The 20,594-nt window shown below is 58.1% G+C and overlaps 1 protein-coding gene and 1 long non-coding RNA gene across 4 annotated transcripts in view, besides 4 other annotated features; one reads left to right on the plus strand and one right to left on the minus strand.

The window, feature by feature from the left end:
* CPZ (carboxypeptidase Z) overlaps positions 1–20,594 on the plus strand; it is a 26,988-nt gene continuing 6,394 nt past the window's right edge. The window contains exons 1-8 of one of the 3 annotated variants that reach the window (NM_001014448.3): positions 1–157; positions 6,689–6,818; positions 8,193–8,733; positions 11,212–11,424; positions 13,225–13,421; positions 13,973–14,134; positions 14,503–14,661; positions 19,263–19,398. In NM_001014448.3, the coding sequence (NP_001014448.2) occupies positions 8,649–8,733; positions 11,212–11,424; positions 13,225–13,421; positions 13,973–14,134; positions 14,503–14,661; positions 19,263–19,398 (952 nt within the window). In that variant the 5' untranslated portion in view covers positions 1–157; positions 6,689–6,818; positions 8,193–8,648. The remainder of the gene's footprint in view (positions 158–6,688; positions 6,819–8,192; positions 8,734–11,211; positions 11,425–13,224; positions 13,422–13,972; positions 14,135–14,502; positions 14,662–19,262; positions 19,399–20,594) is intronic. The other 2 variants (NM_001014447.3, NM_003652.4) reach the window with 2 other exon arrangements.
* Positions 1,004–1,678: an enhancer, noted in NCBI's record as "H3K4me1 hESC enhancer chr4:8595495-8596169 (GRCh37/hg19 assembly coordinates)". NCBI's record gives its function as "activates a minimal SCP1, AML or CMV promoter by ChIP-STARR-seq in naive H9 embryonic stem cells {active_cell/tissue: H9 hESC(naive)}" and the evidence as "EXISTENCE:reporter gene assay evidence [ECO:0000049][PMID:30033119]".
* LOC124900659 (uncharacterized) overlaps positions 12,963–20,594 on the minus strand; it is a 19,443-nt gene continuing 11,811 nt past the window's right edge. The window contains exon 3 of the long non-coding RNA XR_007058014.1: positions 12,963–19,532. This is a non-coding gene — a long non-coding RNA (uncharacterized LOC124900659). The remainder of the gene's footprint in view (positions 19,533–20,594) is intronic.
* Positions 14,110–14,677: an enhancer, noted in NCBI's record as "H3K4me1 hESC enhancer chr4:8608601-8609168 (GRCh37/hg19 assembly coordinates)". NCBI's record gives its function as "activates a minimal SCP1, AML or CMV promoter by ChIP-STARR-seq in naive H9 embryonic stem cells {active_cell/tissue: H9 hESC(naive)}" and the evidence as "EXISTENCE:reporter gene assay evidence [ECO:0000049][PMID:30033119]".
* Positions 14,678–15,245: an enhancer, noted in NCBI's record as "H3K4me1 hESC enhancer chr4:8609169-8609736 (GRCh37/hg19 assembly coordinates)". NCBI's record gives its function as "activates a minimal SCP1, AML or CMV promoter by ChIP-STARR-seq in naive H9 embryonic stem cells {active_cell/tissue: H9 hESC(naive)}" and the evidence as "EXISTENCE:reporter gene assay evidence [ECO:0000049][PMID:30033119]".
* Positions 15,066–15,125: an enhancer, noted in NCBI's record as "active region_21301". NCBI's record gives its function as "activates an Ori minimal core promoter by ATAC-STARR-seq in GM12878 lymphoblastoid cells {active_cell/tissue: GM12878}" and the evidence as "EXISTENCE:reporter gene assay evidence [ECO:0000049][PMID:35858748]".

Genomic DNA, 20,594 nt, shown 5'->3' on the forward strand with positions numbered 1-20,594 from the left:
AGAGCCCCGGCCCCGCGCGGCCCGAGTGCCACATCACTGCGCTGGCCGTCCAAGGTCCGCCGCCCCACCATGCCGCCCCCGCTGCCGCTGCTGCTCCTTACAGTCCTGGTCGTCGCCGCTGCCCGGCCGGGGTGCGAGTTTGAGCGGAACCCCGCCGGTAAGGCCGTCCCCTGCCCCCACCCTCCACCCTCCACCCTGCAACCTCTGGGGAGTGTGATCCGTCGCTTCCCAGGGGCCCGGGAGCTTTCTTCCAGTAGGTCACGCGCCTATGGTCCTGGCGAGAACGTCTCCAAAGTGGGCAGCATGTGGCCTGGGACTGGTAGTGTGACCTCTCCCCTGGACGGGGACACCAGGGAGGCTCTCTACGGCATCCAGGCCGGGACCCCAGGCAGCAGAGGGTCACCACGCCTGGGCCGGGGGGTGAGATCTTTTTCCTGTCGGACACAGCAGCAGGGGCGCCCTGCAGGTGGGTTCGAGGGAGCAGGTGCCAGGACTTTGCAGGGTGAGAGGCCATCTAAGGTCCCCGGGTCTTTCCAGGAACGGGACAGTCTCTCTGGGCTGTGGCAAACTCTTGACCCCTCCCTCCCAGCTGGGGCTGTGATGTGGACAGCAAGTCTCCGGAAGTGGCCCTAAGGGCTGGGAGGGGGCGTGGGCCCCCTGGAGGGATCTGGGGCCCGGAGAGGGAATGGACGCAGGGATCCTCTGGGAGGTCTGCCCGCACGACCTCACCCAAGGGGTGTGCAGCGGGGGTGGGGAGCAGGAAGGTAGAGGCTGGGGGCTGGATCCTGGGCTCCCGTCTGGCCTCACGGCCTCTCCAGGTGTGGGGGTGCATCTAGCCAACCGTGCTCAGGACTCTCATCAGAAGCAGACATCTGGGCTCCTGCGGGAGTGGGGCCGTGTGTGGGTTCAAGGGTGCAGGGTGTCAGGTTCTGAATCGCTTGTTCTCTGGGGTTTGTGGATACCTGAGAACTGCCTGAGCCCTGCGAGTGGATGTGCCAGGACCACAATACCCCACCCCAGTGCGCTGTGTCGACACTTTTCCTTTCCGTCCTGTTGATGCCTGGATTTTCCTCCCACCTCTGCTCCTCGCCTTACCTCTGGGCTCTTTTCTACCCGCTGCGTGTGTGCTCATGCAGGTGTGCAGGTGGGGTGCTGCTGGAGCTTGTGCCGTGTTGTGGGTGGGCCTCCCCTTGGCCCCTGAGAGCCCAGACAGTATCTAGAATCATAGGCTTGTTGGAGACCACAGCCCCCTCCTCCAGGAAGCTCTCCTGACCTGCCCTTTCCCAGGAAGAAATGCAGCCTCCTCCTCTGCACGCAGGCAGCACAGACCACCCTGTCCTCACCCAGCAGGATGCATGGGCTGGTCTCTGTCCCTGGCAGGTGCTGAGCACAGCCGTGGCATCGGCAAGTGTTTCTGGGAGAAATCACTCATCCCCCAGTCCAGTCTCCCCTCTTATGGACGAGTGTGGAAGTCAAGGACGTTTCCAGCCCACAGGCAGAAGTGGGCAGAGCCGGTCACCTGCAGTGCAGGTCCCCCACCCCGGGCTGCCATGTCCCTGTCTCGCCATCTGGGTCTTGCTGAGAGCAAGCCTGGTGCTCTCTCCTCTCTGCCTCACCCTTCCCTGGTGGAAGATTCCCTGTCCTCACTGGAGCCTGGGGACGGAGGTAATTTTCATGTCCTAGGGTCTGGGATTCAGATTCTGACTCCTCAACTCTGCTGTGTGACCTGGGCAGATGGCCTGACCTCTCTGACCTCATTCAGGTCTCATCCCTGACCCAGGCACAGCCACTGGTCAGTTGAGGAGGGGGAGGACTGACGGGCTGTCACTCCCCTGTTGAAGAAATGCTGCCACCTCGTGGTTAAGAGGCTTAGAACTATTTCAAAAGCCGCTTTCAGACCAGTGCTGTCCAACAGAAACACAAAGCCATCCACGCACAGAATTTTATATTTTCTAGTAGCCACACTAATGAGGTAACAGAAACAGGCGAAACTGATTTTAATAACAAATTCTTTTTTTTTTTTTTTGAGATGGAGTCTCACTCTGTCGCCCAGGCTGGAGTGCAGTTGCGCAATCTCAGCTCACTGCGAGCTCCACCTCCCGGGTTCACGCCATTCTCCTGGCTCAGCCTCCCGAGTAGCTGGGACTACAGGCATCTGCCACCGCGCCCAACTAATTTTTTGTAGTTTTAGTAGAGACAGGGTTTCACCGTGTTGGCCAGGATGGTCTTGATCTCCTGACCCCGTGATCCACCCGCCTTGGCCTCCCAAAGTGCTGGGATTACAGGCGTGAGCCACCACGCCTGGCCTGTAACAGATTCTATTTAACCCAATATGTCCAAAATATTCCAGCATTTTGGCATTCATATAAAAATTATTAATGAAACACACTGTTTTTAGTACTAAGTCTGAAATTTGGTATGCATTTCACACATCGCACACATTGGTTTGATCTTGCCACATGTGAAGGGCTCAGTGGCCACGTGTGGCTCGTGGCTGCTGTACTGGAGACCATGGCTTGAGAGCCTTCTAGGGGCATAGGCTTTCACCCCACTGTGCGTTTGCAAGTCTGCAGGGGGATCCGGGGATGTCTGTGTCCCACGGTGGTTGGGGTGGGGAAGCAATGGTGAATAGCCTAACCAGCCACAGTCGTCCTGGCTTTGCTCTGTGGCTGCCAGGGCAGGTGCGGCCTGGGAGAGGCAGAGGGTGGGCTTTGGGTCAGCAGGCCCACCCCCGTGTGGTAAGGGGCAAAACCAGAGGCCTACGGAGGCCAAGGCAGCTGGCAAAGGCCCAGCCACATCATGGGACTAGCTGTGTGGTCTTGGGGCAGTTGCAGCCCCCGAGGGCTCCTCCCAGACCATCCTGACTCTCTTGTGGCCACAGCAGCACCCACTGGGGCTTGCTGATTGTTGGGGGAAGAATTGTGTTTTCCAGAAAAGACATACTGATGATGTAATCCCTGGCACCTGTGAATGGGAGCGTACTTGGAAACAAGGTCTTTGTGGATGAAATCTGATTCAGATGAGGCCTCACGGGATTAGGGCAGGCCCTAAGCCAATAACTGGTATCCCTAGAAGAAGAGGGAGATTTGGGCAGAGACAGACACAGGGACAAAGTTCACACATGACAACAGAGGCAGGGACTGGAGTGCTCTGGCCACGAGCCAAGGAGCACCTGGGGCCACCAGGAGCCGGGAGGGGCGGGAGAGTTCTTCCCTTAGAGCCTTGACAGGGAGTGCGGCCCTGCAGACCTGCAGACTTCCAGCCTTCCAGCCTCCAGGGCTCTGAACTGTTGTTGCTTTTTTTTTTCAAGATAGAGTCTCTCTGTCACCCAGGCTGGAGTGCAGTGGTGTGATCTTGGCTCACTGCAACCTCCACCTCCCAGGTTCAAGTGATTCTCCCACCTCAGCCTCCCGAGTAGCTGGGACTACAGGTGTGTGCCACCATGCCCGGCTAATTTTTGTATTTTTAGTAGAGACGGGGTTTCACCATGTTGGCCAGGCTGGTCTTGAACTCCTGACCTCGTGATTCACCCGCCTAGGCCTCCCAAAGTGCTGGGATTACAGGTGTGGGCCACTGCACCCGGCTGTTGTTGATTTAACCTAAGCATGGTGGGCGCTTTGCTAGGGCAGCCCTGGCAAACAAACCCACCCCTCTCTGTGCCTTGCACATGGCGGCCAGTGGAAGTGGGGGTGACCCAGCCAGCAGACACTCTTCCTGCCCCTTGGGAAACCCCGATGGGGCTGCATGGCTTATTGTGGGGTCACAGGGGATAGTCCTGCTCCTGCCCACGATATGCCCCAAGACTCTGTGTGTTGAGCATTCACTGGGCACCTCACCCTCCTGTTGTATTAATCTTGATGGATCCTCCAACAGCCCTATGAGGTAGACGTGATCCTTATCCCAATCTACACATGAGGAAACTGAGGCACGGGCAGTGGTTCATCCTGGAGTCTTAGTGCCCTCATCTGTGAACAAGGGAGACTGGAAGCCACAGGAAGCCAGGAAGGATCGCCTGTCCAGTCCCTGTGTGATGGTCCAGTCACTTGTGTGGGCGCTTGGTGGCTTTGGAGGAGCAGGTGCAGGGATGGACACCTCACCTTGTAGCTCCCTGAGGCCAGCAGAGTTCCCAGGGTCAAGTCAAAGTTAGTTCTTCCAGTCGCTCATGTCTGCTGAGTGAATAAACAAAGTTCCAGGTTCACCCAAGCTCGCCAGCTCAGGGCCAGGCCACGCTCAGTGCCAGCCGGGCACCGTCAGAGCCTTGTGATGGGTACCCAGGGAGTGGAGCAGGGGTGCTGGGCTGAGATCACCTTGACCCTTGAGCTGACTGTGCTGTAGCATCTGCCTCGGTCCAAGCTCAGTGCAGGATGAGACCACGGGTCAGCTGAGTGCAAACCCTGCTGCCAGAGTGGCCCCACTGGTGGCCAGCTTTGCACACCGGTGCTCGCTCAGGGCCCTGCACAGGATGGGTGCTCACACAGGGCCCTGTGTGGATGCCAGCCTTTTATCTGCTCTTCCCAACATCACCCAGTTGTCTTTAGCCACACTGACAGGGGGGTGAGGGCACAGTATTTCAAGCAGAATCCCGGACCAGCTTTTTTTTCATTCCTTTTTTCCTAAAGTTCAAGCTGTCATGCCTCCTTTATGCTGCAGATTGGTGGAGTCTGGGGACGCTCTGTCTGGACCATGAAGGCCTGGGAGTCACGTGAGGGTGCCAGGGAGGGTGTCTGGACAGTCTCACGCCCACAGGCCCGTGACAGTCATCCAGGGGGACTCAAGCTCCTCTGTGCTCATCCCAGCGCGCGTTGTGGGCGTCCGCGGGCATGGACGGGCAGGTGGGCACACTGCAGCACCCCTCTTGGGTTAGGGCCGCCCCACTCCCAGGTGCTTTAGGAAAACAGTGCCCTTGCCTGCTGCTCTCCCACACTCAGCACAGCAGGGCTCCTGCAGCTTGTCTCCGGGTTGTTCTGAAACCATCGCAGGAATGATGCACACTGTGGCTGATGGAGCCTCTTCCCCCCGGAAGATCGTGTGCTGGGCTCGGACCATAGGTCGTCTCATCTCACAGTATTCCTACAAAATGATTATAATGAACCCATGTGAAATGGGGGAAATGGAGACACAAAAGAGCCACTTGCCCGGGGCCCCCGGCTGTGATGTGGCGGTTGGCACCTGGGCCCGGTGGTCTGGGGCTGGGCATCTTCCCTGCCTTCCACAGCCCTTGTGGTTCATAGTCCATGTTCCCTGCCAGCTTGGACAGGGAGGGAGAGTGAGCCCAAGGGCAGCCGTGTCTTCCCCAGGGCCGCCCGCACACGCCTGTTCCACGCCCGGAGAGCGCTGTGTGGACCTCTTTTGTCATCTGTGATGAGGATGGAAACGGGAGCTCTCCTAGGAGTGCCTGGTGGAGGACTAGTGCCCTAAACGTCCCCATCCCACAAGAGCTCTGTGAGCTGAATGGTGTAGGGATCCAGGACTGTGGTTGCCCAGTCCCCAGTGGGGAAACCCAGTCCCAGGAAGTTCCCGAGGGTGGGAGCTGCCTGGCCACAGAGCAGCCCAGGTCTCTCTGACCTTTGGAGAGTTGCCATATGCTCAGCCAAGTTTTCACAGCCCCCAGATCCTAGGGTGAGCTCCGAAAAGCGGCCTGCACTCTCCTGGCCTCAAGGTTCTGTCCCAGGTTTTGGCTGGAGGTGAAGTCACAGCCAGGCAGGCAGGCCTTTTCCTCTGCTCCAGCCTGCTTGCCCCCTTCTCCCTGGCCCCCTGCACCCACTCCACACGTCCTGCCTGTGGGTCACGTCCCCTTCTCCGGGTTCCTGCTGCTCCCACTGCCCAGCCTGCCCCCTCTCTGGCCAGGTGGGCTCCGGCATGGGCCCGTCCCAGCACTAGCCGGGTTTTAAATCTGATGCCGGGTTCCCCGCCTTGGATGCGTTCTCGCTGCCTGATGCACACAGAGCCTTGGGTCCCACTTCATACAGGGCCCTTAGCAGCCAGCATTGCTTAGGGTTGGCTGTGTTTGGCCTTCTCAGAGGCCTTACTGTTGGGTTCACATGTCTGGGTTCAGAAAGGGCCCTCGAAACCCCACGATTGTGAGGATGGTTTTGTGTGTTGATCCTTTGTTCTTGGAAGAGGGCCCCTGATTCAGGAAATGGGGAGAGGCCACACCCTGGTGGTGTCCTTGGGGGCACGGAGCCTGCGTGGCTGACTCTGGGAGGGGCCTGGGTCTGGGTGCAGCAGTGCCTGCTGGTGAGGGCTCCGGGGGCTGACAGTTAAAACTTTTGGAATCTTCTGAGGACTCAGCGGCTTACGGTGGGAAGCTTGAGATTGGCCACAGTAGAGGTACTTGTGCCCCAGCACTCACAGATGCCACCTCAGGGCTCTTCTGTCCTGGACATCAGGCTTGTGGGCACCATGGCCCAGCCCCGGGCTTCGAGCCAGATGGATGCCACTGACGCCTGCTGCTGCCTGTCTGTCCTTAGGCAGGTCATGTGACCTCTCAGACGCAGCTTTCATGCCTGGGAAATGGGGGTGACTGTGGTGTCTGCCTCAGGGGCTGCTGTGAAGACTCCATGAGATGGAGCTGGCGGAGGGTGGCCTGGGCTGGTCCCTACCTGCACTCAGGGCCCTGGCCGTGTGTTGCCCGGTGAGTGAAGGATGGCGAGGCAGGTCCCTAACAGTGCCATGTCTCTCTTTCCAGGTGAATGCCACAGGCCACCAGCTGCAGACAGCGGTACAGTACCGGGACCTCCCTGGCTTCTGTTCTGTAGGAGGGCTGCAGCCCCCACACTGTCAGAGCACTTTAGGCAGCTGAATCCGTGATTTCAGAAGTGGGTAATGGATAACACAGCCCATTAATCAAACTAGAACCCCCTCGTAAACAGCCAGAGAAAAATTAGACATAACAAAAAAAGACCAGCTAGGAAAAGGTGCACCAGCTTCCCACCGGGCTATGCCCACCCCAGCCCCTGCAGAGATGTCCTCTCCATCCCTCTCCAGTCCCCACTGCAGTCACACGTCCTGCATTTGGGCCTTGTCCACATGCATTTCATGGTCACTGGCTCTGTGCCGGGCCCCTGCTGAGTCTGGGGTTTGGGTGAGTCACCTCCCCCGCCAGGCCCCGATTTCCTCCTTGTGACAGGAGGAGTGCTGAACGAATCTTGTGAGATGGTTTCAAAAGTGACGTGGGAGCCAACCAATGTGAAGTGCTCAGGTCAGGGCTGAGGACAGGGCTTTTTCCCTGAAAGGGGCAAACATTTCATTGTCGCCTCCTGACGGATTTGGGCATCTGGTGTATTCTAAGTGGAGGCTTTCAAAATATCAGAAAAAAAATTCTGGGTACCAAGTCAATGACATATGTAAAATGTCTATTTTATTTTATTTTTTATTTATTTATTTTTATTTTTAGAGATGGAGGTCTTGCTGTGTTACCCAGGCTGGTCTCAAACTCCTGGCCTCAAGTGATCCTCGCATCTCAGCCTCCCAAAATGCTGGAATTACAGGCGTTAGCCACCTTGCCTGGCTGTAAAATGTGGTGAGCAGGGCAATGTGAGGCAGAAAGAATCCTGTCCTTTCTAGACTTTGACATGAGACGTGGCAAAATGTCATGACTTGTCCTATGCGATGCCACATCGGGAAAGTCCAGCTGAGGAAAAGAGGAGAAGGCCATCTGGGGGTGCGAGTGTGGAGCCAGCGGCTGCGGGGACACAGTCAGCTCCCGACGGGGCTGGAGGGCCCTGCTAGGCCGATGAGGGCCTTAAAGATGGGGCTTTTGGAGCTAAACAAACAGCTGTGATGAGGAAGCAGGAAGGTGCCCAGCAACAATGAGGACCCTACCCTCTGCCTGGGCTTACGGCATCCCTGCGAGCTGCAGAGCAGAGATGAGCCGGCTGAGCCGCATCTGTCATTATCCACTTCTCATCCAAGTCCTGAGCCCCAACTGACCCATTAGGGTCCCCAAAGACACTAGACGCCCAAAGCAGGATGTGTCTTTTGGGACGTCTTTGTGCTGCGGCTGTGGCTCCTGGGTGGTCTGTGCCTGTCCCTGCCTAATGCAGCATCAGCTGGCTGCCTTCACGGGCCCTTGTGTGGCACAGCTGCTTTGCAGATGGAGACGCCGAGGCTCAGGGCAGCCTGCTGCGGCTGGCTTGCTGGTGGGTAGTTGAATCTGGTTGGTCTTAGGCTCCTCCTCTGGTCTCTCACAGGCTCTGATTCCTGCACAGTAGCTGTTGTCCTGGTCCTCCCCTGCCAGACCGTGGGTGCCCCTCCCTGCAGGCCCTGGCCCTGCGTGGGGTCCCCTACGTAAATGTCTGATGCGTGACGGTCAGGGCCACTGCAGGAGGGACTGACCTGCCGACCCTGCCTCCCCAGCCACCTGCGTGGACCTGCAGCTCAGGACCTGCAGCGATGCCGCCTACAACCACACCACCTTCCCCAACCTGCTTCAGCACCGGTCGTGGGAGGTGGTGGAGGCCAGCTCCGAGTACATCCTGCTGAGCGTTCTACACCAGCTCCTGGAAGGCCAGTGCAACCCGGACCTGCGGCTGCTGGGCTGTGCTGTGCTGGCCCCCCGGTGTGAGGGCGGCTGGGTGCGCAGACCCTGCCGGCACATCTGCGAGGGCCTGCGGGAGGTCTGCCAGCCCGCCTTCGACGCCATTGACATGGCCTGGCCCTACTTCCTTGACTGCCACCGCTACTTCACGAGAGAGGACGAGGGCTGCTATGACCCGCTGGAGAAGCTTCGGGGTAAGGGAAAGTGGCGGGGGCCTGTGTGGTCATGGGGTCCAGGTGGTCAAGGAGGACCAAGAGCCACACTGGAAGGAACTTGAGGGCTTTTCCATCGACAGTGACGGTGCAGGCATTGGTAGAGGGCGGGGCTGCTCCCCGAGGCAGCATGTTCCCCACAAAAGGGTGCCAGGCAGGGTCGGGGGCTCAGTGCAGATGGAGGATCCTCTCGCTGCCCAGGGCCCCCTAGCAGAAGTCTCCAGCCCCTTAGAGGCAGGCTGGGGTGGAAGGGTGCTGAGTCCAAGTGGGGGCAGTGCCCCCGCCCAGGGTGCAGTGAGCAGGCCTCGTGTGGGGGAGCCTGGGCTCAGAGTGCAGGGCTGGCCCTGGGGGTCCAGTCCTCAGCCACAGACCCTCCAGAACCATAGTGCTTACCCCTGGTCAAGGGGGGGCGGGGCATTTACATCCCCCGGGAGGTCTGGCGGGCAAAGCTTCACGATTGCTCATCGCTGGGCCTGGAAGATCACACAGAGGGTTTGGCTTGGAGTGACTCCTCCAAGCAGGGTCTGCACCGCCCTGTGGGCTCAAGGAGGGAGAGGAGCTGTGGAGAAATGCTTTGATGTCTCTTGCAGATGAAACAGTGGAGGGGGAGTGGGCAAGACTGGGCCACCATGGGCCACTTGTCTCTGAGGTGTGCAAAGAGGTGCCAGAGGGCCACTTGGCAGCGGGGCTGGTTGGGGGCCCTGCATGGAGTCCCCTGTGTCTGTTGTCTCACGAGTCGGTGTCCACCAGAGACCCTGCATGATCCGCAGCAGTCCTGGCCCGTTAGACCTTTCTGTGTAAAAGAAATGTTCTATTGTGTTCTGTCCAAGACAGTTACCACTGGCCGCATGTGGCCCCCAAGGCTTGGGATGTGGCTCTTGCCACTGAGGCCTGGATGTGGGCGTTTCATCGCATTTGAATGAGTCTGAACCTGTCTTTGAAGAGCCTAGGGCCAGTGTGTGCCACATTCAACTGTGCAGGGCAGTGTCCGCTCATGGTTGGGTTCAGAGGATCTGACTGCGGGTGCCACACATGTGCTAGCTCACGCGAGTCTCACGACAGCCTTGCTCCATGGAAGAGGAAGTGGAGCCTCGGGAAGGGTGACAGCAGTGGGGTCTTTAGCTGGAGTGGCCCAAGCCCATTGCGGATGGAGGGATGGATTTGGCCATTTGTCAAACAGCTACCGAGCACCCACTGTACATGTGGCTTTGTGCTGGGACATTGAGGAGGGCAGGAGAAGGAAGGCAGACAAACACCCGGGCCGGGCTCCAGCAAGCCCTGGGTTCCGGGCTATGTCAGGTGCTCAGGGCTGAACCTGGCATGTCTTGCAGCCTCTGGCTCCCAATCTGAGAAGGGTGGACCCTGGGCTCCCATGCGATGCAGCGGTAGGGGGGGTGCCCTTTGCCAGCAGGTGGGAGCCGTCTGTCTGCAGAGCTCAGTCCCTGTAGAGGTGGTGGAGCTGCCTGTGGGAGGCCAGGGAGGCGAGGAAGGAAGCCAAGCCCACAGCCCTGGGAAAGCCCAAGGAGTCGGTTGGAGATTATTTTGGGCATCTCTACCACCAAATTGCCGGCTTCCTCTGCTAGTCTTTCCCCTGGAGAACCGTTTTGAGCAGAAGCAAAACCACAGGGCAAGGAGAAGCTTAGAGGAGCACATTAACTCTCTGTGGACCCAGGAACAGCCTGCGGGCACCTGCGTCCTGCTCCTGTGGGCCTGACTGCTGCAAAGCCCCTGGCGGGGTGGAGGGAGCTAAGCGTCATCGGGGTGGCCCTCAGGGCACCTCTGTTCTAGTGGATGACAGGATGGTGGGGAAGCTGGTGCGTATGTGGTGTAGAGACGTTCGTATTCTAGTTCCAGAACCCCTCCCTCTTCCCCAGCCCCCTTTTTTCTTCCTCCCCCAAGTACTTCCCAGAGCCCCCCTTTCTGTTTCCTTCCTGGACAGGCACTCACTGTTGTACCGATGAGGTTGTAACAGAAACACTGGGAAGCCTCACAGCAGCCGGAGGGGGCACCACAAGGAGCCTTCCTGTTTCCACCATTAGCCAAGCAAATGAAGCAGAATACTGAACTGCCTGAGTGCCACTGTCATGGAAAACACGCCCAGGAAAATCCCCTCTGCACACCCAGCAGGGGTTTGCCTTGGGGGGTCCAGGACCCCATATATCTGTCTTCCTTTCTGTTGTCCTGCTCCGTATTTTAGGAGCTTCCCACAGTGGCCCCATAGTATGTTTACTCACAGTCACGTTAGGAACCATGGCGCTGTGCTGTGTACATACCTCAGGTGCCGTTTGGCTTAGATATCGTTGTAGGCACTGCAGAGGGAACTCTAATTAAAGATAGAGATGTCCAAGCATGGCTGTCGTGCAGAGGGGACTAAGGGTGCTGTGTGTGGTCAGCGTTCCCAGGCAGTGGTAGGAAGCCTGGGGGCCTGACACTGACTGAGCCCCCCCACTGCTCCCCCAGGAGGCCTGGAGGCTGACGAGGCACTGCCCTCAGGGCTGCCGCCCACCTTCATCCGCTTCAGCCACCACTCCTACGCCCAGATGGTGCGTGTGCTGAGGCGGACGGCCTCCCGCTGCGCCCACGTGGCCAGGACCTACAGCATCGGGCGCAGCTTCGACGGCAGGGAGCTGCTGGTCATCGAGTTCTCCAGCCGCCCCGGCCAGCACGAGCTGAGTGAGTGCCCTTGGGAGAGCCTGGCCTGGCCCCGTTTCGGGAAAGGGCTTGGGCCGCTCCACCTTCGGGTGCACAAGTTGGTGGGGTGTTTGGGGTCCTGGGCAGAGCTGGGGGCCTCAGGGAGCTGCTTGGTGCAGGCCACGTCCCGCTGGGCATGTGCAACCACTATATGTATAAAGAAGAATTTCTCCAGATATCCATCTTACTTCAAAATGTAGGGTGGCAGACTAGGTTATTTCATAATAATGGAGACATTGATCTAGTGGCTGAAAAGATATAAAACAAACAAGAAATTTTATTTTATTTTTTTGAGACAGAGTTTTGCTCTTGTTGCCCAGGCTGGAGTGCAGTGGCACGATCTCGGCTCACTGCAACCTCTGCCTCCTGGGTTCAAGCAATTCTCCTGCCTCAGCCTCCCGAGTAGCCGGGACTCCAGGCATGGGCCACCACACCAGGCCAATTTTTGTATTTTTAGTAGAGACAGGGGTTTCACCATGTTGGCCAGGCTAGTCTCGAACTCCTGACCTCAAGTGATCCGCCCAGCTCGGCCTCCCCACTCAAACAGAATCGGTTATTTTAGAAGCAGCCTCCATTTGACCCTTGGTCATCACCAGTTACTGAAAAATGCACCTGCTCTTTGTTTATGGACTCAGGGCCTTTTCAGTGCTGGCAGCCTCAGCCAGTCTTCATCCTACTGGTCTGGGCAGCATGAACACCATGAGCCCAAAGGCTCTATCTCTTACCAGGGGCCAGAGGCCACCTGGCCACACCCTGGCCCCCAAGGCTCACTATGTTCCCTCTCCAACTGTAACATGCTCTGGGCAGGAGGCAGAGGCTCTCCCTACAGCACTGGAATTTGAGGGCAAGAGGTGCCCCTGTGCAGAAGGCCAAGGGAGGTAACCAGCGCAGAAAGCTCCCAGGTCATTTATACCCCGGGATGTGGCATCTGAGGAACACGGGTGTTTCCTCTCATCCCTGGCTGTCCCTGGGCCACACACAGCTGGGGAGGGAGACATCATTTTCCAGGGGAGCAAGTGCGAGGCTTAGAGAGGAGGAGTGACTTGCCTGCAGTCACACAGCCAGTAAGGCCATGGGGCCTGGTCCACTCTTCTTCCTATAGTCCATTCATTTATTCATCCATCCATCCATCCATCCATCCATTTATTCATTCAGCCATTACACATCCATCCATCATCCACCCATTCATTCATACATCCATGCATCCATCCACTCATCATCCATCCATTTATTTACACACCCATCCATCATCCGTCCATCCATTCATGCATCAATTTATCCATTATTTCATCCAGCCATTATTCACTCATCCATCCATCATTGATTTATCCATCTATCCATTCATCCATCATTGATATATCTATCCATCCAGCCATCCAGCCAGCCATTATTCATCCATCCATCCATCCATCCATCCATCATTGATATATCCATTCATCCACTCAAGGGCCAACCACCTTCCCAGCTAAGTACCAATGTGCACTTTGACTTATTACACAAACATGAAGAGAGACCATCAGTTAAATTTGCATGAATCAATGATAACATATATTATTCATATTCTTGAGTTATGCTAACTAAGAATTCTGGCTAGGCATAAAAAACGAGCTTAACAAAAGTGATGACCTTGATGAGACCTCATTATATACAGAGGTTCTTGAGTCAAAACAAGTATGAATTGGTCCCAGCCCATCTGGTCATTCTTGCTGAGTGGGGGGGCCTCATGCCTTTGGGGACCCCCGGCTTTGAGATGATGCCCCAAGTCTCTGTATTTGCCCCCAGTGGAGCCCGAGGTGAAGCTCATCGGCAACATTCATGGCAACGAGGTGGCGGGCCGGGAGATGCTCATCTACCTAGCCCAGTACCTGTGCTCTGAGTACCTGCTTGGTAACCCCCGCATCCAGCGCCTGCTCAACACCACCCGCATCCACCTGCTGCCCTCCATGAACCCTGACGGCTATGAGGTGGCAGCTGCCGAGGTGAGCGCCCAGATGCCTGGATCCTGTGGGCCACCGCCCGAACCACCCCCTCATTCATCCATTTATGAGTAGTTTATCCCAGCAGTGCTTCGTTCCTGCCTCTCTAGGAGAGGAGCATTCAGCAGGTGTCGATACTGGCAAACCCCTGCTTCAGGGGCTGGGGAGAAGGAAGGCACTGAGAATTCTAGGTGAATTAAAAAGGTGATGCGTGTGATAGAGGAAAATGATGGAAAGGGAGTCGATGGTGCCCGTGTGTGTCAGCGGGGGGTCAGGGTAGCTCTCGGGGAGGTGGGCAACGAGCAGAGCAGGTGACTGTCGAGGGCGCCCCACTCAGGGGGAGCAGCCAGGGAAGGCCCCAAGGCTGTGACATCAGCAAGGAGCCCCGGGGTGGAGAGGAGGCCAAGGGTCAGGCATGCCCCCGAGCTCATCACATAAAGCCGGGGGAAACCGCAGCCCCTGGCCTTGACCCTCAGCCCAGCGTGAGACCCATCTGGAAGGAGGAGGGTGGGGTGTGCTGACCCCACCCAGTCGGGGGTTGGCCATGTTTTCAGGGTGCCGGCTACAACGGGTGGACGAGCGGGAGGCAGAACGCGCAGAACCTGGATCTGAACCGAAATTTCCCGGACCTGACGTCCGAGTACTACCGGCTGGCGGAGACCCGCGGCGCACGCAGCGACCACATCCCCATCCCCCAGCACTACTGGTGGGGTAAGGTAGGAGCCGCCGCTGCCCATGCTGGTCTCCACCAAGGCATCCAGGGGTCCCTAGTTATTCCAGGCTCTCTGGAGTTGTCCTTCCCTGGGGACAGGAGAGCCTGGTGCTCCCTCCCTGCCTCAGTTACCTGTCTGTGAAATGGGAACACCTCCTTGCTGGGGTGTTGGTGAGATTCAGAGATTCATGTTGGAAACGCCTAGATCCCCGCAGGGGCCCAGTGATGGGGGCCGAGTCCAGCTGGTGCGTTGATGTAGAGACCGTTAATAGTCTGCACCATTGGAGCCCAGAGGGCTGCTGAAGCCCAGGGCATGGCTGCGGGCCAGTGGGAAAGCCCAGCCCTGAGGGCGGCCTCGTCTGTCCTGGGCAGGTGGCCCCGGAGACAAAGGCAATCATGAAGTGGATGCAGACCATACCCTTTGTGCTCTCAGCCAGCCTTCATGGGGGCGACCTGGTGGTGTCCTACCCCTTCGACTTCTCCAAGCACCCCCAGGAGGAGAAGATGTTTTCTCCCACGCCCGACGAGAAGGTGAGAGGGCTGTCGGGTGTGTGCAGGGGAGGGAGACAGTGTGCGCGGTCCCCTTGGAGCTGGTGCCCCTCCAGTCCTGAGCTCAGTGAAGGCAAAGCTCCTAGGAACCTCTACTCAGAGCGGGTCAGCACCACCTGCTCCAGGCCCAGCTCTGCAGGGAAGCCCCTTCCTCCTGGAAGTCTGTGGCCTCAGGGGCCGTCGCTCCCCTGATCTCCCCGAGGCTGGCTGCACTGTCTTTCACATGTCCCCGTCTGGGAGCTCCTGGGGTGGGGACCCTGCCTCAGCGCTGCTGTTCCTTTGAGCTCCGCCCCGCGCCTGGCGGGGTCCCCAGTGCTTCCCACCGCAGAGGGGTGCGTTTCCGGGAGGCGCCGGCAGAGGGCAGTGCTGCAGCGCGCATGCTGCCCGCCCGTCCTGCTTCCCGGGGGTCGTGCTTGCTTCTCACGTGCTGGGCTCCTCCGGATGGGGAAGGAGTTCTGGTCCCACCGTCCACTGGGCCATTAGGTGAGGCCCTCCCTTTTCCGGGCCTCAGTTTCTCCTACTGTTCGTAGAGCAGCGGGCGATGAGACCCGTGATGATGCTGGGACCCTCCCAACCCACCCTAACCTTAGGACGACCTGCTGGGGGAGGGCGCGGAGTTGGTCCGTTCCCACACTGTGGATAAGAAAGCGGAGGCTGAGGGAGGGGTTGTGATCTGAGGTGGGCCCCAGCCTCCAGCCCCCAGCCCCCAGCCCCCAGCTGCGGATCCTGGAGCTTAGCTGCCTGAACTGCCCCTAGTGGTCCCCACTCCACCGGAGGCTGGGCCTGCCCTCCACCTGGCCCCTTGATGGCCCAGAGTCGCTCCCCAGGCTTCGCGTGGAGAGCCAGGCCTGCCCTCCACCTCCCTCCCTGCACTTTCCCTTGGTGTTTGGGGGAAGGAGCAGGGAGAGAGGGACTGGCCCTGGGTGGGCAAGTGCCAGGTGCCGGGCCCCTCATAACAGCAGTCACACATCGTTTGTTCTCCTTTCTGAGGCCACCCGGCCGAGCACATAGCTGGGCCCCTGGTTGGCACTCAGGTATCAGCCCTGCCTCACCTGGGCCCCTCCCTGTCCTGGGGCCATCATTGGGAATGCAAACGGGACTGGTCCCTGCGCTGGGGGTCCTCAGTCTAGGGTGGGAAATGGAGCCAGAAACTGGCAAGGAGAAGACTGCCAGGGCTGCAGGAGGGCTGTGAGTGCACGTGTGTGCGTGTGCATGCATGTGCACACGTGCATATGTTGGGGTGGGGAACCCCCAGCCTGGTCTGGGACTTCAGGAGGGCTTCCCTGAGGTGGCGGTTTCCCAAAAGGTCTCCACAGGTGAGGTAGAGATTTCCAGCTGCAGGGCAGGGAGGGGCACTGGAGGCACAGGCCACCTGGTGCAGAGACCAAGGGGAGCCCCAGGGAGCCGGGTGCAGGGGCCCATGCCGAGTGCTGTGGCCCAGCAGGAATGGGGAGAGCAAGCTGAGCACTCTGCAGACCAGGGGCAGTGACAGCAACACCTGGGCCACCGGCGCATTTGTCCTGCATTTGTTCATTCTTCCACCCATTCACTCTTTCACTTGTTCATCATTCATTAACTCACTCCTTCACTCACCCATTCACTCCCTCCCTCCCTCACTCCCTCACTCACCACTCATACATTCACCCATTCACTCACTCACTCCCTTCCTCACTCCCTCACTCATTCACTCATTTACTCATTCACCCACTCCCTCACTCATTCACTCACCCATTCACTCAGGCATTCACTCACTCCCTCACTCACTTACTCATTCACTTACTCACTCATTGTCACTCATTCACTCATCACTCACTCATTCTCTTATTCATTCACACACTAATTTTCTCAGTCATTCATCCATTCACTCATGCACTTATTCACTCACTTTTTCACTCACTCATTCTCTCATTCATTCACTCACAAACTCATTCACTCACTCTTATTCTTTCACTCATTGGTTTATTCCCGCACTCCTTCCCTCACTCATTCATTCATTGACTCTTGCAGGTAGTGCACACCAAGGGTGCGAGGGGTGAGGTGTCTGGTTCTCTGCTCAGACCTCTGCAAGTGCCCGCAGAGGTGACTGGGCGGCCTCCACTTCTGGCCTGGCCTTGCACCCCTGTGCTCTTGGGGGCCATGGCTGGGCAGGGCAGGTGTCCCCCTCTGCACAGGCCCAGTGTGTCTCAGCCTCAGAGCTGGCAGGGCAGGGCAGGCATCCCCTCTGCACTGGCCCAGTGTGTCTCAGCCTCAGAACCAGATGTGAGAAGACGTCCCCAGGGGGGATGTTCACCCCAGTGAGTCCCATCAGAGCCAGAGAAAATAACACTGTTTCCAAGCCATCAATCATCGGGCAGTGATCATGCAGCCCTGTGGCCGGCAGTGATCTCTGGAAACCAGGGTCCCAGGAGAGGCCTGGGTTTGGCAGGGGAGCATGAGAGGGGCTGGCTGGGGTGTGCCAAGGTACCCTTTCACCAAACTTCCATGGTGCCCTACGGACGAGAGCCAGTGCCTGGGGACAGTGTTCAAGGCCCTGCAGGCTGGCCATGGCTGCCTTTTGCTGCTCCACACGTGCCCCTTTGCCCGAATCCTGCTCATGCTGTGTCCTGCCTGCCAACCCCTTTCTGGCTTTGCCAACGCTTGCTGTGGGAATGAGCATAGCCAGTTTCCCAAGGGCTTCCTGGGGCAGGAGCTGGGTGGGCTGGGTTTCCCACGGTCCTCAGCCTGTGTTTCTGGGTCCCCATTCAGTCCCAGCTTCCCTGCTCCCGCCTGGTTTCATTTATCTGTGTCTCTTCCTTGCCCATGTGCGCCCAGCCTCTGGACCGACAGCTCCTCTGATGTCCTTGTCCTGCACCTGCCCTCCCAGGTCAGGCCTGTGTTAGCCAGATCTGGGCCCCTGCACCCCAGGGTTTTGGGGACTGGTGGTCGGCAGCCACCTTCCATGCCTTAGCCCTAGAGACTGACCAGTGATGGGAGGGAGGCCCCAGGGCAAGGGCAGGGAGGAGGGACTGTAGGGCAGGGAGGCCTTGTGGGTAGAAAGGGTGACACGGTGGGTTGGGTCAGGAGCAGACTTTGGAGAGAGTCTTGTCCCACCCTCCTACCCCCCGAGGCTACACCCTGTCAAGCTGACGGATAAAGGCAGGTCAGAGGTGGGACACAGGTAGAATGTAGCAGATGTGGCCTGGGCAGATGGACCGTTTGTTGGATGTGATTCATTCTTGATGGGAAAGTCCGCTGAGGCTTCCTGCTATGAGGCAGGGCAGGCCACTCCTGAGCTGATGCTGCCCCACCCACAGGTGCAGGGGCTGCTGGCAGGATAGTGGTCCATGGTCTGCCACCCTGGAACCACAGGGCCTGAGTGGGGTTGTGTTTGTGCCCTTGGTTTGTGTCTGTGGGACTGAGTCCAGATGGCACAGCCTCACTTCTGAGAAGCTGGACCCATTCCTCACCAACCCCAAACCTCACGTCTGGGAGTCCGAGTCTCATGACCCCCACCAGGGAGAGATCTTCACTCTGGCCTGGAGCAATCACTCATTCACTCAGTCACTCACTCTTTCACTCATTCACTCACTCATTCACTCATTCCCTCACTCTTTCACTTGCTCACGCATTCGCTCACTCACTCATTCACTCATTCATTCGCTCATTCACTCACTCACTCACTCACTCACTGGGCCCTGCCTGTCCACCCTCTAGTGTCCTCCACTCCTCCTTTCTGACAGAGGGAGCCCCCTCCTCAGCACAGACCTGTCCTGCTTGGTGGGGCCCTGATGAGCTCATGCAGGGTGAGCCCTTCGCCTGCCTGACCCACCAGGAGCCTCTGCCCAAGGTCAGTCTGGGACTTACAGACGGCCCAGAGCCCCCACAAAGGAGGATCTGTGGACTCTGCCTGGGGGATGGGCACAATGCGGGGAAGCTCTGGGCTGGGAAGGGAAGCCTGTGGGGAGGGACCCAGGATCCCAGCCACACATCCAAACATGTCAAGGGTGGCAGATCCTGTGAGCTGTGTTCTGTCCCTCTGCCAACTGCAGTGGAAGCTGGAGGGTGGGGTAGTCAGGGAGGGGCTTCCTGCAGGCTGAGTCCCAGCCTCTGATGGTGCTGGTCAGCCTGGAGGTGGAGTGGGGTGGGGAATGAAGCAGTGATTATTCATAGAAGTAGTTGGCTTTGGAGATGAAGTCGGGGAAAATGCAGCCCACCCTTGCCTTCACTGCTCCAACAGCCTGGGCTTTATAAACTGTCAAGCCAACCTGCACACACCCTGTGGACACCATGTCTGTGTGTAACCTCAGGAGAGAAAGCCCACACTACCCGGCCAGGTGTGCAGAGTCTCGGTGATTACCCCAGTTACCCATGGGACCTGGCCCCGAACTCCAGCAGTGCCAGACCGCCTGTGACCCACCTCTGGGCCTTCACATACACTGTGTCCTCTGCAGGACACCGTTCCCCTCTCCTACCTGCAGACACCATTCCCCTCTCCTATCTGCAATGCAGGTGTTTGCACGCGCAGCTCCTCCCCTCATTGACCCCAGCTCACAGGACGTCCTGCAGGGGACCCTTTCCTTATCTGAGCCAGGTTTCTTTTCCAGATGTTCAAGCTGCTGTCCAGAGCCTACGCTGACGTCCACCCCATGATGATGGACAGGTCGGAGAATAGGTGTGGAGGCAATTTCCTGAAGAGGGGGAGCATCATCAACGGGGCGGACTGGTACAGCTTCACGGGAGGTGCGGCTTCCGCAGGGCGGGACTGGGCGGGGGGTGGGGGGTGCAGGGGCTGGGTGGGGCAGGGGCAAGGCGTAACTCCACGGTCTGCTGCTGGGATCCAGCTGGAGAGCCCGGAAGACAGGGCGATGCCTCACCTGGTGGAGAGGAGGCTGGCGTGAGTTTTGTTTCTGTCTTGATGAAAAGCTGTCGTGTGACTGTTGTGGAGGACCCAGGCCCGTGGCTCCTGTAGTTTATTTCATGAACACTCAAATGTCACGGTTTCACCCATGACCAATACCTTTGTGACATTAGGGAAGTGGAGTTGCCAGATGAAATGCTGGACTTCCAGTTAAATTGGAATTCCAGAGAGACCGTGAGGAATTGTTTTTAGGACAATGTAAGGATGTTCCAATGCGTGGGATATGCTTACAAGAACCCGCATGGGGTGGACTGATACTACAATTGTATCTGTGGTTTCTCTGGAGCCCGACTTGAAGCGTGTACATCTTTATCTGCTAAATTTGCCCTTGGGGAGGCTGCACAGGAGCAATATAATGGGCATATGCCACTGTGTGTCCTGAGGGGTACCCGCCAGACCAGGCACACATGCTCTGGGCCCTGCCTGCACCTCTCCATGCCGGCACATCACAGATGAGAGCGCTGGGCTCAGCTGAGAGAAGGACTTGCTGGAGGCCCAGGGCCACAGGTGGCAGAGCCAGGACCCACGTGGCATCCCCTTCTGCCCCCTCTTCCCATGCAGGCGGGCAGAGAAGGTGGCACTTCTTGCACACTCTGAAGCCATCTTCGCAGCCTGCTCTGAAAACTTTTCTCTCCTGCTCAATGGTTGGCACCTGTGATCTTTCCCTGGTGCGGCGCAGCCTCTCTCCCTTCCAGAACCCAGGCAGAGGGCCCTCAGCCCCCGTCATAGCCCTGTGACTGGGGTCTGCAACAGACACCCACGAGCAGAGCTGGGAGAGGCCCCTCTCTGTTCCTTTTTTTTTTTTTTTTTGAGACGGAGTCTCGCTCTGTCACCAGGCTGGAGCACAGTGGTGCGATCGCAGCTCACTGCAATCTCTGCCTCCCGGGTTCAAGCGATTCTCCTGCCTCAGCCTCCCGAGTAGCTGGGATTACAGGCGCCCACCACCACACCCAGCTAATTTTTGTATTTTTAGTAGAGATGGGGTTTCACCATGTTGGCCAGGATGGTCTTGATCTCC

The sequence above is a fragment of the Homo sapiens genome, chromosome 4 (assembly GCF_000001405.40).
Source record: "Homo sapiens chromosome 4, GRCh38.p14 Primary Assembly".
NCBI classification, from domain to species: domain Eukaryota; kingdom Metazoa; phylum Chordata; class Mammalia; order Primates; family Hominidae; genus Homo; species Homo sapiens.